Below are 16,446 nucleotides of genomic sequence, written 5' to 3'. Positions count from 1 at the left end.
AGTTCATTTTTAAAAATATTTGTAACAGGTGAGACAACTGTAAAAGTCTAGAAGAAAATAACTAGATGGATTCTGTTTATTTTTAGTGGAGATGGGGTTTCACCATGTTGGCCAGGCTGGTGTCAAACTCGTGACCTCAAGTGATCCGCCCGCCTTGGCCTACCAAAATGCTGGGATTACAAGCATGAGCCACCACGCCCAGCCAACTAGATGGATTCTGTACCAAGACTGATTCCTAGTAACTTTAAGCTCTTACTGTACTTATAAAAAGAAAAAAAAAAAAAAAGCTGGAAATCATAAATTATGAATTACTGGTTTATATAATTTTAAGTCAGCACTCTATAAGCAGACTTAGCCTCAAATAAAAGGTCTTGGAAAAACATAAATACACACAAATTTTAAGTTAAAATAAAATGTTTAGTATACGATTTTTTATAATGGTCCTTTCCTTTAAATAACCCTTTTTTTGCTTCACCAACCAACTACTGGTCAGTATTGTGTCTAATTAGAAGGTTTCAATGGAACTATACCTTTTGGTAGAAACAACATGTTAGGCTGGGTGCGGTGGCTCACACCTGTAATCCCAGCACTTTGGGAGGCCAAGGCAGGCAGATCACCTGAGGTCGGGAGTTCGAGACCAGCTTGACTAACATGGAGAAACCTCGTCTCTACTAAAAATACAAAAATTAGCTGGGCATGGTGCGCATGCCTGTAATCCCAGCTACTTGGGAGGCTGAGGCAGGAGAATTGCTTGAACCCGGGAGGTGGGGGTTGTGGTGAGCCGAGACCACATCATTGCACTCCAGCCTGGGCAACAAGAGTGAAACTCCACCTCAAAAAACAAAACAAAACAAAACAAAAAACACACAAAAAAACAAAACACAAAAAACATGTTAGTAAACGTAAATTAATTGGGTTTGGAAAGTAAGACATACTGGCTTCCTTTATTCACATTAGCATTTTCCTATTATTTTGGAACCAACAATTCCATGTTCATTGAATTTCCTTTTTTTTTTTTTTTTTTAAAGAAAATAGAGATGGGGAGCCCAGGGCGGTGGCTCATGCCTGTAATCCCAACACTCTGGGAGGGCAAGGTGGGAGGATTGCTTGAGTGGAGTTTGAGACCAACTGGGCAGCACAGTGAGACTCTATCTCTACAAAAAAATTTTTTTAATAAGAGAAAAAAAGAGATGGGGTCTCACTCTGTTGCCCAGGCTGAAGTACAGTGGTACAATCATAGATCACCGTAACCTCAAACTCCTGGGCTCAAGTGATCCTCCCACCTCAGCTTCCTAAAGGCTAGGACTATAGATGTGTACCACTATGCCTGGCTAATTAAAAAAAAATTTTTTTTTGTAGAGGCAGGGTCTTGAACTTTTGGGCTCAAGGTATCCTCCCACCTCCACCTCCCAAAGTGCTGGGGTTGCAAGTGTGAACTACCAGTCAGGCACGGTGGCTCACGCCTGTAATCCCAGCACTTTGGGAGGCCAAGGTGGGTGGATCACCTGAGGTCAGGAGTTCGAGACCAGCCTTGCCAACATGGTGAAACCCATCTCTACTAAAAATACAAACATTAGCCAGTCATGGTGATGGGCGCCTGTAATCCTAGCTACTTGGGAGGTTGAGGCATGAGAATTGCTTGAACCCAGGAGAAGGAGGCTGCAGTGAGCCGAGACCGCGCCAGTGCACTCCAGCCTGGGGGAAAAGAGCAAAAATTCCGTCTCAAGAAAAAAAAAAAAAGAAGTGTGAACTACCATGCCTGGCCTCTGTATTTCTTTAAGTAGTTATCTTCTTCTTTTATACTGAGATTCAATAAACAATCAGGAGAAAATTTTAAAAAGTAATTTAATAAATATAACTTAAATAAGAGATTAAAATGATATAAAAATAGCTAGCAAAAAGTACTACATTCTTACTCTTTTGCTACCCTGTCCTACTGCCTTTAACTTCTGTGTATTTATGTTCATTCTTTTAATACTTCAAGTTCTACATTACTCAAAACCTAATAGGATGTTCAATACATTACATAATAATTTTTTGTGTATCTTCTGACCTTATATTTTACAAGGAAACTTTTATAATATAAATTTTATAAAGTTGCATTATAAACAAATGTTATATTGTTACTAATATGATTATGTAAGTCTTAACAACAACTTATATTGGATCATCAGACAGAATAGTCAAATCAATAAACGGTGAATTACTAAGTCCTAAAGACTGAGTATATTTGGAAAAATGCATTCTTTCTAACAAAAAGTTTTAAAGCAGCAGTCAGCAAACTATGGCCTGAGAATGAAATACAGCCACCACCTGTTTTTGCATATAGTTTTACCGGAACACAGTCATGCTCACTCATTTAAATATTATCTATGGCTAATTTTGTATTCCAACTATAGAGTTGAGTAGTTGCAACAGAGACCATATGGACCCATAAAGCCTGAGCAATTTTTTTTTTTTTTTGAGATGGAGTTTTGCTCTTGTTGCCCAGGCTGGAGTGCAATGGTGCGATGTCGGCTCACCACAACCTCTGCCTCCTGAGTTCAAGCAATTCTCCTGCCTCAGCCTCCTGAGTAGCTGGGATTACGGGCATGTGCTACCACAGCTGGCTAATTTTGTATTTTTAGTAGAGACTCGGTTTCTCCTTGTTGGTCAGGCTGGTCTCGAACTTCCAACCTCAGGTGATCTGCCCAAAGTACTGGGATTACAGGCATGAGCCACTGCGCCCGGCCAAGCCTGAGCTATTTACTGTCTGGTCCTTTACTGAAATATTTTGCTAACCCCTGTTTTAAAGTGTCATACTTCCTGCCCCACTTCAAAGAATGGTTAGTTTCATGAATTTTTGGGCTCAAGATATCCTCCAACCTCCACCTCCCAAAGTGCTGGGGTTGCAAGTGTGAACTACCAGCCAGGCGTGGTGGCTCACGCCTGTAATCCCAGCACTTTGGGAGGCCAAGGCGGGTGGATCACCTGAGGTCAGGAGTTCGAGACCAGCCTTGCCAACATGGTGAAACCCATCTCTACTAAAAATACAAAAATTAGCCAGTCATGGTGGTGGCTAATTCTTGTATTTATGAGAACTAATTCTCAATTACCTTGATAAATAGGAGATAATTTTTTTTTTATTTTTAAAAATTTAAAAAGCTGAATAGGCCGGGCACAGTGGCTCATGCCTGTAATCTCAGCACTGCTGGAGGCCAAGGTAGGCGGATCACCTGAGGTCAGGAGTTTGAGACCAACCTGGCTAACATGGCGGAAACCTGTCTCTACTAAAAAATACAAAAATTAGCCAGGCATGGTGGCAGGCACCTGTAATCCCAGCTACTTGGGAGGCTGAGGCAGGAGAATTGCTTGGACCTAGGAGATGAAGGTTACAGTGAGCCGAGATCGTGCCACTGCACTCCAGCCTGGGCAACACAGCAAGACCTTGTCTCAAAAAAAAAAAGCTGAATAAAATTAATCATGAATAATGAGGCTTAACAATAAACACTGAACTGTTAAAATGGCAATAGTGAAATAAAGGCTCATACAAATATTTTTAAAAGCCAAAAGTTTATTTTAGTTTACTACTTTGCCGTAAAAATTTAAGATCTAACCTGATTGATCCAAGGATATGTAAAATCTTCTCTCCATCTAATGGATAGTCAACATTTGGGGGTGGGGAGGGACGCTGAAATATAAATATCATAAACATAAGTCCACACATGTTGTAACCTTTGCAAAAAGATGCCTTTTTTTTTTTTAAACTTACCTCATTATTCCCATCAATATTAAATTTTGCTGCTTGGATTTTTAGTCCTCGCTTCAGATCACTTACAAAGCAAGTACGCGCTTTAAGGAAGAAAAGGAGACCTTATTATGGCTAGTTATTATAATTGAACAGAGTGTACCTACACCCCAGTTAAAACAATTCTATTCAAGTGAACATGCTCATCATCTATTCCTTTGGATTTTATAAACTCTATTCCCATCTTTAGTTAGCTAACAATAATTTGTTCATTAAAAAACCTGTTTTGGCCAGGTGCAGTGGCTCTTGCCTGTAATCCCAGCACTTTGGGAGGCCGAGGCAGGCGGATCACCTGAGGTCAGGAGTTCGAGACCAGCCTGCCCAACAGGGCGACACCCCATCTCTACTAAAAATACAAAAAATTAGCCGGGCGTGGTGGCGGGTGCCTGTAATCCCAGCTGCTCCGGAGGAGGAGGCAGGAGAATTGCTTGAACCCGGGAGGTGGAGGTTGCAGTGAGCCGAGATCGCGCCACTGCACTCCAGCCTGGGCAACAAAAGTGAAACTCCATCTCAAAGAAAAAAAACAAACCAGAACAAAACAAAACAAAAAAACAACCTTTTTCATTGACTAAGGTGTCATAAAACATGTTGTACATTCATCTTGTATAAAACCTCATTTAAAAAAAATCACCTTTGAGGAAACTGTTGTTTGATATCTCTTGTATAAGGAGGACCACAATAAAAATTAATTTTACCATCATAAAAATGTAGCTATTCTAACTGAATAGCATATTTCTTTAAACCAGATTTTCTTTCTCCCTCTCTCTGTCTGATTCTTTTTAAGGAAACTTGTTGTGAAAAGATGTTACCAAAAAGAAATTGGAAAAAAAAAGAAATAAAATTAATAAAAATGTTGGTTGGTCAGAACACAACGCCAATTTTTTTTTTTTTTTTTTTTTTTCTGACAGAGTCTCACTCTATTGCCCAGACTGGAGTGCAGTGGCGTGATCTCGGCACAATGCAACCTCCGCCTCCTGAGTTCATGCGATTCTCATACCTCAGCCACCCAAGTAGCTGGGATTACAGGCACACGCCACCATGCCCAGCTAATTTTTGTATTTTTAGTAGAGACAGGGTTTCGCCATATTGGTCAGGCTGGTCTCGAACTCCTGACCTCAAGTGATCCACCTGCCTTGGCCTCCCAAAGTGCTGGGATTACAGGCATGGGCCACTGCGCCTGGCTGGTACAATGCCAAATTTTGCTCTTAGTTGCAATTTAACATTCCTTAATTTTGGGCTTTTTGTAATGATTGTTCCTCATTAGCACACCCCAACACTACCACTTTCTTTCTACTATATCACTTTACTTTTTGCATTTTGAAAACTTTTTCTTTTAAAAATTCTATTGCAAAGTATTTTTTACAATAAGCTGCTTAAAATTATTTCAAGGTAGTTAAGGAATACCTTTTTTAAAGTAGAGACAAAATTGATGTTAAATGCAAGAAATCTGACAACTTGGTTGTATTACTTGTAAAGCATGTTAGCCATATATTATGAAAAGAATTGTGTATAATATATATAATGCATATTGATATGATATATATTATACACAATTCTTTTCATAATACATTATGTAGTGAATTTCATTCACAAATTCAAAACACATGTGTTGAGAATCCACAATATGCTACTATGCTAGACAGTGAGCTAGGCACTAAAGCTACTTATATGTTTTATATTTTATTCAAGTTCTCGTGACTATCTAAGCAAAGTAAATACCTAGCCTTGAGATCTTTTTTTTGTTTTTGAGATGGAGTCGAGACTGACTTGCCCAGGCTGGAGTGCAGTGGCGCAATCTTAGCCCACTGCAACCTCCGCCTCTGGGGTTCAAGTGATCCTCCTACCTCAGCCTCCCAAGTAGCTGGGACTACAGGTGTGCACCACCATGCCTGGTTAATTTTTTGTAGTTTTATTTTTATTTTTTTGAGACAGAGTTTCACTCTGTCATCCACGCTGGAGTCCAATGGCGTGATCTTGGCTCACTGCAACCTCTGCATCCCAGTTCAAGATCACACAATACAATGAATATGTGTATGCTGCATATTAGTTTTTGTTTTTGTTTTCTTTTGAGACAGTTTTGCTCTGTCACCCAAGCTAGAGTGCAGTGGTCTGAACTTGCCTCACTGCAGCCTCCACCAGGAGATCCCAGGCTCAAGTGATCCTCCCACCTCAGCCCCTCTAAATAGCTGGGACTATAGGTCTGTACCACCACACCTGGTTAATTTTTGTATTTTTTGTAGAGACAGGGTTCATCACGTTGTCCAGGCTGGTCTTGAACTCCTGGGCTCTAGTGATTCACCTGCCTTGGCCTCCCAAAGTGCTGGGATTACAGGGGCCAGCCACTACACCCAGCCTGCATATATTTTTTTTTTTTTTTTTTTTTTTAGACAGAGTCTCGCTCTGTTGCCAGGCTGGAGTGCAGTGGCGCGATCTTGGCTCAATGCAACCTCCGCCTCCCAGGTTCAAGCAATTCTCCTGCCTCAGCCTCCTGAGTAGCTGGGACTACAGGCGAGTGCCACCACGCCCAGCTAATTTTTGTACTTTTTAGTAGAGACGGGGTTTCACCATGTTGGCCAGAATGGTCTCGATCTTTTGACCTCGTGATCCGCCCACCTCGGCCTCCCAAAGTGCTGGGATTACAGTCATGACCCACCGTGCCCAGCCCCTGCATATTTGTTTTTAACAGAAAGGGTTTCTACTGAACATACCTTCAACAACATGCTTTCTTCCTTAACATTATGGACCTTCTTCCAAAACAATACTCTAGCTCTTAACAGCTACATAACATTCCTTATAATGAAGTTAGCAAACTTCATGCAATAACACTTTTTAGATGGGATACAACACTTTGAATTTTCATAAATATGCCAGATTGCTTTCCAAAAAGGTTAGTTTGCAATCCTTACTACTAACAATAAACATCCATTTTCCTACAATCTCACTAATACCAGATGTCTTTCAAATTTTTGCCAATCTGATGTCTCCCTGACTAATGGAAGAGTTACACATCTTTTCACAGGTTGGAGGTCATATGAAAAGAAAACACTCCACATGGTCAACAACTGTTATATCACGGAGGATAGAAATGGAAGAGAGGAAAGGAAACCATTTTACCTGAGATATTTCTGTATTATTTGAACTACTGTAATAAGCATTACAAATGATTGAAATTTTATAACAATTGAAAAGAATTTAGGTAATTAAAACACATAAAAAATAATAGGTAATATAATGGAAAGCAAGATCTATTTTGTAGCCTGAGCTCTAACCCTACCTACTTGTGTGACACTGGACAAATAACATTTCACAGCCCCAACTGTATTAGATTATCTCCAGCTCTCATTTAACTCTAAAATCCATTACTGTCTATCTATTAAACATCCTAAATTATTAACATTAATGACATGCCAAGTATTGAAGATTATATTTTAAATGTATTTTATTTTAGTGAATAAAAATACCAGAAAACCCAATTTGAACTTTATCATAGAAATTCACCCTAGCAAAGTAGAAGCAATAAATCTCACTTAGGTGAAAACAATGTACTGTGTAGTACTTTGGTCACAATTCCGGAAGTTCTTAGAAAAATGTATAAAGAAAACTAGAGTAAAAAACATTATACTACATCAAACCAGTAGCTTTCTTAAGCAATTTAACTGTTCTTTCACACTGCAAAATACTAGTTCCCTGGTAACCCTGTATACTCTGTATACAATTGAGAAGCTGCTTCAGTAACACATCATCACTATGCCACAGCTTCCCTAAGTGTGAAAAAAAAGTGGAATTTGTACTTAGAGTATCCCATAACCTATATATTAAATACTTTTAGGATATTACATTATGAATATATTTTCTATCTGTGTAAATGTTTAGAAGCATATGCCCTCCAAAGTAACACTTAAGGATGAAAGGGACAAAAATGAGAACTTAGTTTACCTTTAATGTCCTCTAAGACACCTTCCGGAACTGAACCTAAAACAAATATTTCATTTAGAATTATAAAACTTTAATAATTAAAAACAGTCTATTAAATTGCCTTCACATTTCTATTTTTCAATTTAGAAAAAATTTTAAAAATACAACTACTATAATTTTCTCAAAAAGTCTAACAGAAAAATTTAATTTTGTTTTAGGGAAGAAATATCATCATTCAAAGCCAAGACAAACCATGGAAATTGAAGCAAAAAATTGAAGTTTCAAGTTTATCTTTCTGGTGATAATAAATAGTTGTCAGTAATGTGCTAACATATTTTTAAAAAGTACCACACACAATCTTTTAATCTTGTCCTTCAAGGTAAAGGTGACATTTAAAAAACAACTGAGAAAGTACTTATTCATTCTTTTTTGAATTAGGTTCTAAATACTAAATGAAAGAGGCTCATTCAAAGTTCAGCTAAAGATACCAAGTATATCTACCTTCATGCAATACAGGGAGCCTTTGGTTTGGATATATTACCATTGTTATAAAATTTTGTTGCCAAAAATCTGTCTCAGAAACAAAATTTTCTAACTTAAAGTCTTCGAAACTAAGAATTTTTAACTTTGGGGCCAGGCGCAGTGGCTCACGCCTGTAATCCCAGCGCTATGGAAGGCCAAGGTGGGCCGATCACCTGAGGTCGGGAGTTCAAGACCAGCCTGACCAACATGGAGAAACCTCGTCTCTACTAAAAATACAAAAAGCTGGGTGTGGTGGTGCATGCCTGTAATCCCAGCTACTCAGGAGAATGAGGCAGGAGAATCGCTTGAACTCGGGAGGAGTTTGGGGTAAGCCAAGATCATGCCATTGCACTCCAGCCTGGGCAAAAAGAGTGAAACTCCGTCTCAAAAAATAATAATAATAATAATTTTTAACCCATTGTAAAATATGTAAAAATATTTTCATTGATTTATAAGAATAAATTATTGATATCAGGGAAGATAGACATCTATAGCTGAAAAATAAATCATTATTTAATAAGCATAATTATGGCCTTCTTCCACCTGGATCTACATTTGTTGTCAACTATAACTTTCAGTTCTGAGAGCCATTAAAATTAGGTAAACTTAGAAACCACACCATTAAAATGTTAAGCCATAATTTTTAAAAAAAAGCATATTTAATATTTAATTATATTGCAAAAGATTTTTATCTTTAGTAAGTATAAGTTTAGAATTATTTATTATTTTACCTTTATTATCTCATCCTTTCCAAAGGCTTACTTTTGTGTTTCATAATATAGTAACAATAGTACATATATGGTGTATAAATAAACAGACATACTAAAGATAACATGTTCGAAGTTTTATTTTACCTGTGGGGCCAGTACATGATAAAAAATTTTTGAAGATTTCCTATCTTTAAGTGTTAAAATCAAGAGGATAAAGATATGCCAGAAGATTTAATCCTGATTATAAATAGATGAGAGAAATGTAACTTGACTGTAAGAACCTGCAATTTAAAAATAAGTGCTAAAACCTACAGCATTCCACAACTTCAATGCTCTCTCTTGGAACATTTATATAAATTTTAACATGTCAAAGAACTTTGGTAATATGAGAAACTGTTTTCTTTAGGCAAATGTAAGGCAGGCCTGGAAATAAAGAGTTTAATTTAGCTAAGAGTAGATGCTGCTTTGGGAAGGAGCTCCTTAATCATAAGGGGCAAATAATTATAACTATTTAAATTTTGCAAGTAAAGACTAGAAACAAGAGGCATTCCCTGGCTCTGGCTCTAAAAAAAATGCTTACATTTCAGTTAGGAAAATAAGAAGCATAACATATTGGTATATAATTTAAACTGTACATTTTTCCAATCAGTGTACTTAGGTTAGCCTTTTTGAGTTACTATGATATATTCATTCTTTTTTAAACTAAGTTCTAAACACTAAATGAAAGAGGCTCATTCAAAATTCACTTAAGAATACTCAAGCATATCTCAGACTTGCATATAATCTTTGCTAAGAACCTGGAAAAGAGACATTTTAAATTTGTTTGCATTTCTTTTTCTTTTTTTTTTTTTTTGAGACGGAGTCTCCCTCTGTCACCCAGGTTGGAGTGCAATGGCTCGATCTCGGCTCACTGCAATCTCCGCCTCCCAGGTTCAAGCGATTCTCCTGCCTCAGCCTCCCGAGTAGCTGGGATTACAGGATTAGCCACCATGCCCAGCTAATTTTTTTTTTTATGTAGAAACAGGGTTTCACCATATTGGTCAGGCTGGTCTCGAACTCTTGACCTCAAGTGACCCACTCACCTTGGCGTCCCAAAGTGCTGGGATTACAGGCGTGAGCCACCGTGCCCAGCCGTATTTGCATTTCTGATCCTACTAAGTGGGTGCTTCAGCAAATATTTGTATGATTTGATTCCACAATTTTGTAGGACTGCATGGCTATCACAGACTCAGATTGTGAGTATTAAAAGGAAAGGTTAGAATCAGTACAAGGTTGACTAGAAAAAGAATATCCAAGAATGTATCGTTTATAATTTTATGGAAATATTATTGGGTTTAAAGACCTTTACAAAGAACATCTTGGGATGCTACACTGAATTTATTATCTTTGAAGACCTTTTATAAATTACCTGTCACCAAAATATACTAAGACATCACAAAGTTATCTGGAATTTGAAAGCTATAATTGGATCTACAGAATGAAAAATGCTATTAACTTAACTATCAATAGGGAACAACAGGAAAACATAGGTATGCCTAAGTGTCGCAAAAATCTCGCTTTCCAACATATATTCAATGCCCTAGCACTATACTAGGTGCTGCAGATTGAAAAATAAATAAGACAGGGATCCTCAAAGTCTCCTGGGGGAAACAAGTGAGTTAAGAGGCAAATGAGAATGTGTCATATGTGCTATAATAAATTACTGCCAAGGGCTTAACAGAGAGGAGCAATTTATTCTGCTTAGGGAAGATGAGGAAGGCTTCACCATTAAGATGACATTCCAGCTGAGTCATGCAGAGGGATCAAAAACCAAACTAGGCAAAGAAAAACATCCCAGGGAAAGAAAAAGAATAAATGAAGGCACAGGGCTGTGCTAGGACTCACGGTGCCTCGACAACTGTAAGAAATTTACTGTAGCTTTAATAAGGAGCAAAGGATAAAGTTTAGTGACCTAAGGATAAGAGGTAGAACAAACTCAGATTTTGAAGAAACATTTATATCCAACAGATAATTTGGATTTTAACCTGTAGGAGCTTACAAAAATTCTCAAGCAAAAGAGCAATGTATTTATATTTATTTTGTGAAAAATTGGCTGGGCACAGTGGCTCAGGCTGTAATCCCAGCATTTTGGGAGGCGGGGGCTGGTGGATTGCTTGAGCTCAGGAGTTCGAGACCAGCCTAGGCGACATGGCAAAACCCCATCTCTACAAAATGTACCCCCCAAAAATTAGCTGGGTGTGGTGGCTTGCGCCTGTAGTCCCAGCTACTCAGGAGGCTGAGAATGGAGGATGGCTTGAGCCTAGGAGGTGGAGACTGCAGTGAGCCAAGATCGCGCCACTGCCCTCCAGTCTGGGCAACAGAGTGAGATCCTGTCTCAAAAACATAAAAATATTTGTGGAAAGTTATTCCTGGCAACAGTGTGAAACAGACCGAATCCATCCAGAGTAGACTTCTGTAATAATCTAAGAAATGAGGGCCTAGATTAAAACAATGTCTTTGCTCTCGGGTGTTCAATGGTGTGGAAGGTTAAAAAAAAAAAAAAAAAGAAAGAAAGAAAAATGAGATCTGAAAGAGATTTCTGAAGAATTGAAAGGCTAACTTCCAGTTTTGTAAAACGGGAGACAAGGAAAATATTACCTTTATCTAATAATTGAAATGAATTTGAGGAAAGACATAATGTATTCACTTTTGGAAATCTTAAGTTTGAGGTGCCTAGAGACATGCACAGTCTCTAATAATCAGTTGGAAATATGAATATCAAGTTCAGAAGAAGGATCAGGCCCAGTGACACATTTCAGAATCAACAGCATGCAGATGTAGAAGTTGTGGGAGTAGATAAGATCACAGTTAAAAAGCCAGTAGAGAAAAAGAAGGAACAAACACTAGATCCCTAGTCGAATACAAGTAGAGAAAGCAAGAGCAGAGGAAACCAGAGGAATATTTGGGGAAATAATAGACAACCACTAAAAAAAAGAATCCTGAAAGCCAAGGAGAAGAAAGCATTCAAGAGTACATGATGATCCACAATGTCAAAAGTTCTGGAAAGGATGACTAAAATCAAACTATTGAATTTAGTGATTAAAAGTTCAATGGTGAGCTTATAGTTGAAGCAGTACCATCAGAGTGGCATGGGGAGAAAAGAGAATAATCATGCAATGGAGCAAAGACTAAAATACAAGTTGAAGAACAAAAAGAGAGTGTAAACCACTCCTAAACCACTTAAAATGAATTTACCCATCACTGAGGGAAGGCTCTGTTCTTTAGCAACACTTGTGTCAACAGTACATTGTTCCAATAGTTGAGTTTCCAACTCTCTGAAATTAAAAAAAAAAAGTTACTGGAATGAAAATATTGAAACTGATATCCTTATTTGATACTTTCAACTACATAATAGATTATTATGATTTTTTTTTTGGAGACAGTCTTACTCTGTTGCCCAGGCTGGAGTGAAGTGGCGCAATCCCAGTTCACTGCAACATTCACCTCCTAGGTTCATGTGATTCTCCTGCCTCAGCCTCTCGAGTAGCTGGGATTACAGGTGCCCGCCACCATGCCCGGCTAAGTTTTGTATTTTTAGTAGAGATAGGGTTTTGCCATGTTGGCCAGGCTGGTCTTGAACTCCTGACCTCAGGTGATCCATCTGCCTTGGCCTCCCAGAGTGCTGGGATTACAGGTGTGAGCCACCACACCCAGCCCGATTATTATGATTTAAATAAAAATGATCTTCCTGCCAGGCACGGTGGCTCACGCCTGTAATCCCAGCACTCTGGGAGGCTGAAGCGGGTGGATCACCTGAGGTCAGGAGTTTGAGAACAGCCTGGCCAACATGGCAAAACTCTATCTCTACTAAAAATACCAAAATTAGCCAGGCGTGGCGGCGCACGCCTGTAGTCCCAGCTACTCGGGAGGCTGAGGTAGGAGAATCGCTTGAAACCAGGCAGCGGAGGTTGCGGTGAGCCGAGATCATGCCTCTGCACTCCAGCCTGGGTGACAGAGCGAGACTCCATTTCAATAATAATAATAATAATAATAAAGGTCTTCCCCATGACATAAGTTTACCTATGTAATAAACCTGCACTTGTATCTCTAAACTTAATAAAAGTTAAAAAAAAAAAGAAAAAAATGTGGTACATATACACAATGGAATACTATTCAGCTATAAAAAAGAATGAGATCCAGTCATTTGCAACAACATTGATGGAACTGGAGATCATTATGTTAAGTGAAATAAGCCATGCATAGAAAGACCAATATTATATGTGCTCAGTTATTTGTGGGATCTAAACAGCAAAACAATGTAACTCATGGACATAGAGAGTAGAAAGATGGCTACCAGAGGCCAGGGAGGATAGTGGAGGGATACAAGGGAGGTGAGGATAATTAATGGGTACAAAAAAATAGAAACAGTAAGACCTACTATTTAATAGCACCACAGGGTGACTGTAGACAATAATAACTTAATTGTACATTTTAAAATCATGTAAAGAGTATAACTGGATTGTTTGTAACTCAAAGGATAAATGCTTGACGAGATGGATACCCCATTCTCTATGATGTGCTTATTTCTCATTGCATGCCTGTATCAAAACATCCCAGGTACCTCATAAATATATACACCTACTATGTACCCCCAAAAATTAAAAATTTAAAAAACTGGTTTATTCTTAAAAAATGAATATACTCGAAGCTAATAGAGGGCGGAATGAATAAAATTCACTGTCCGTATCACAAGCCCTCTATTGATCACTGATCAACAAACAGATTAGCAACTGTTTTTGTGGCACAGGTGAAATGAATATGTTAAATTCCAAGAAACTTACTTGTGAAGAGCTTTTCCTCCTAGGGGTAGTGCTCCCCAACAATTTAGAACTGGGATTCCTTCATATATCTATAGAGTAGTCAAGGATACTACTATTTTAGGAGATAAAATGTGGTTTCCTTGATATTTTCCTCACCTTCTGCAGTACTGTTCTAAATATGCTTTAGTGACAAATTTTTATTTCTTATTTTTAACATAGTTACAGAAAAATCAAAGAGTAAGTTTTTTTTCATGTTCTTCATCAAAGAAAACAGAATAAAAATACACATAAGCACATGACCACACACAATTCATTAGATACAGCTGGGGCATCTGATAAAGTAGCCACTAGGCCTGTGCAGCTACTTAATACATGAAATATGGCTAGTCTGAATTGAGATGTGCTCTAAGACTAAGCTACACACCAAATTTAGAAGGTTTTAATACCAAAAAACCTCACTAAAATACCTCATTATAATTTTTGTATTGATGGAATATTGGAATATTTTGAATACATTGGGTTAAATAAAATATACTATTAATTTCATCTTTTCTCATGCCTTTTAAAATGTGGCTCTTAGAAAACTCTATTAACTTTTTTCTGAGACAGGGTCTTGCTCTGTAGCCCAGGCTGGAGTGCAGTGGTGCGATCTCGGCTCAGTGCAACCTCCACCTCCCAGGTTCAAGTGATTCTTGTGCCTCAGCCTCCCAAGCAGCTGGGATTACAGGCATGTGCCACCACACCCGGCTAATTTTTGTATTTTTCGTAGAGATGGGGTTTTGACAAGTTGGGCAGGCTGGTCTCGAACTCTTGGCCTCAGGTGATCTGCCCACCTCAGCCTCCCAAGGTGCTAGGATTACATGTGTGAGCCACGGCACCCAGCCTAGAACACTCTAAATTGCATACATGGTCCACATTATATTTCTACAGGACGGAGCTGAGAGGGAAGTAAACAATATTTACTGTGGGTTTGCTAAGTATACTGGTAAGAGCATCAGCTTTGGAAACAAACATGGGTTTATATCCTGGCTACATGTTTATAAGAAGAGGAGTCAACTACCCATCCCAACTGTCAATATTCTCATTTATATAAGGAGAATAATAATACTCATGTTGCATGGTTGTTTTAAGAATTAAACACAAAGTACTTTATACTAAAAAACACTACTGCTTGATTAAATTCCTTAGGAGTTAATGATGCTTAATTTCCTTCCATGAATATTTTTTCTAATAAATATACATGTAGATCTCAAAATTGCAAGTCTTACATTCATGCATGTCAACATCCTTTTCAATAAAGCAATGTCCACTAGGACAATTCTAAGAGATGCTCATCTATACTCTGCTTAAATATTTATAATGAAAAGAAATGTACTAGTTTATACGGTCAGTAATTCAATTTTGGGACAGCTTGAATTATTAGTAAGTTCTTGCCTATGGTCAATGATATAAAAACCACAGCACGTACTGAGAAAATTACTATGTGCCAAATCCTATGCTGAACACTTTATATATATTACCTCACTCAACTAACACAACTCTTCTATGAGATGGAAATATTATAATCCCCAATTTATAGATAAAGAAACTGAGGCCCGAAGAGATTAAGCTACCTGACCAAGTAGTAAAAAGCTTAGCTGAGATTTGCATTGCACTTATTGTGTATTTGATTCTAAAACCCAAGCTTGTAAACATTAAGGCATACTGCCTTCACGAAAGCCTCTGGAGATTTAAAAAATAAAAAAAAAGAAAAGAAAAAACGTATTCTTTTTTTTTTTTTGAGACAGAGTCTCGCTCTGTCGCCCAGGCTGGAGTGCAGTGGCATGATCTCGGCTCACTGCAAGCTCCGCCTCCCGGGTTCACGCCACTCTCCTGTCTCAGCCTCCTGAGTAGCTGCGACTACAGAGGCCAGTGAGCTCTTCAGCTGTTTGAAGGCTGATTTCATGTTGCCATTAAGTTTTGAAATCTTTCTGGATCGAACATACTCATTTCAGTTTCTCCAATTACTCTTTGTATGATTTTTTTCTTAAAACTTGACTATTCTAGTCAACTTGACACATCCTGATTTTTCTTTTAAAAACTGAACATAATATTCATGAGGTATACTCCTGGAGTATATCCTGGGACCAAACAATAATAACTTCTACAAAAAGTAAACTTAAGTCTTATAATCCTGTGAACTTTTTCCACATTGTAATTCATATTTGTACATAGTAACCCAAAATAGTTCAGTACAATACAAATCATTTATAATTAGCCTAATTATTTTAGTTAAAGTAGAGTAAAAACTGCAAAGGTGGCTGGCTGACAAAAAAGATATGGGTAACACCAGGCTTTCCCTATATCCACAATCTAGGACCATGGCAGAATTAATTCCAAGCGTCAGAAGAGCCATTAGATGACTTGGAGCAAGCAAGACAGATGGAACCTAGAAAATAACAAAATCAATACAACAAAACCGGAATGAGTGTCATTATTTGAAGGTATTTGCCTTATATCCAAATATATTTGAAAAAATTCACAGGAACATTATATTAATTTATATGGTGATACCTACTCAACCATTTTATGAGAGTAATTAAGAACTAGTTTGTTGATTTATATAAATTCACTCAATAACCAAAATACACTGTAATAAAAATAGCTCAACTGTTTCATTCCAAAATGACAATTATGAAGCATTTTTCTTTATTCTTGTTCTCTTTTGGAAGGG

At 37.9% G+C, this 16,446-nt stretch overlaps 1 protein-coding gene across 4 annotated transcripts in view; it reads right to left on the bottom strand.

Moving 5' to 3' along the window:
* Positions 1–16,446, bottom strand: part of ACTR10 (actin related protein 10) — a 35,488-nt gene that overhangs the window by 8,184 nt on the left and 10,858 nt on the right. The window contains exons 5-10 of one of the 4 annotated variants that reach the window (XM_011536960.2): positions 16,054–16,161; positions 13,755–13,822; positions 12,169–12,248; positions 7,724–7,759; positions 3,752–3,852; positions 3,597–3,670 (exon numbers count right to left, since the gene is read on the bottom strand). In XM_011536960.2, coding sequence (XP_011535262.1) covers positions 3,597–3,670; positions 3,752–3,852; positions 7,724–7,759; positions 12,169–12,248; positions 13,755–13,822; positions 16,054–16,161 — 467 coding nt within the window. The remainder of the gene's footprint in view (positions 1–3,596; positions 3,671–3,751; positions 3,853–7,723; positions 7,760–12,168; positions 12,249–13,754; positions 13,823–16,053; positions 16,162–16,446) is intronic. The other 3 variants (NM_018477.3, XM_011536961.2, XM_047431587.1) reach the window with 3 other exon arrangements.

This window comes from Homo sapiens, chromosome 14, assembly GCF_000001405.40.
Source record: "Homo sapiens chromosome 14, GRCh38.p14 Primary Assembly".
NCBI classification, from domain to species: Eukaryota; Metazoa; Chordata; class Mammalia; order Primates; family Hominidae; genus Homo; species Homo sapiens.
Note: the sequence above shows the minus strand (reverse complement) of the source record. Positions and strands in the feature narration are given on the sequence as shown.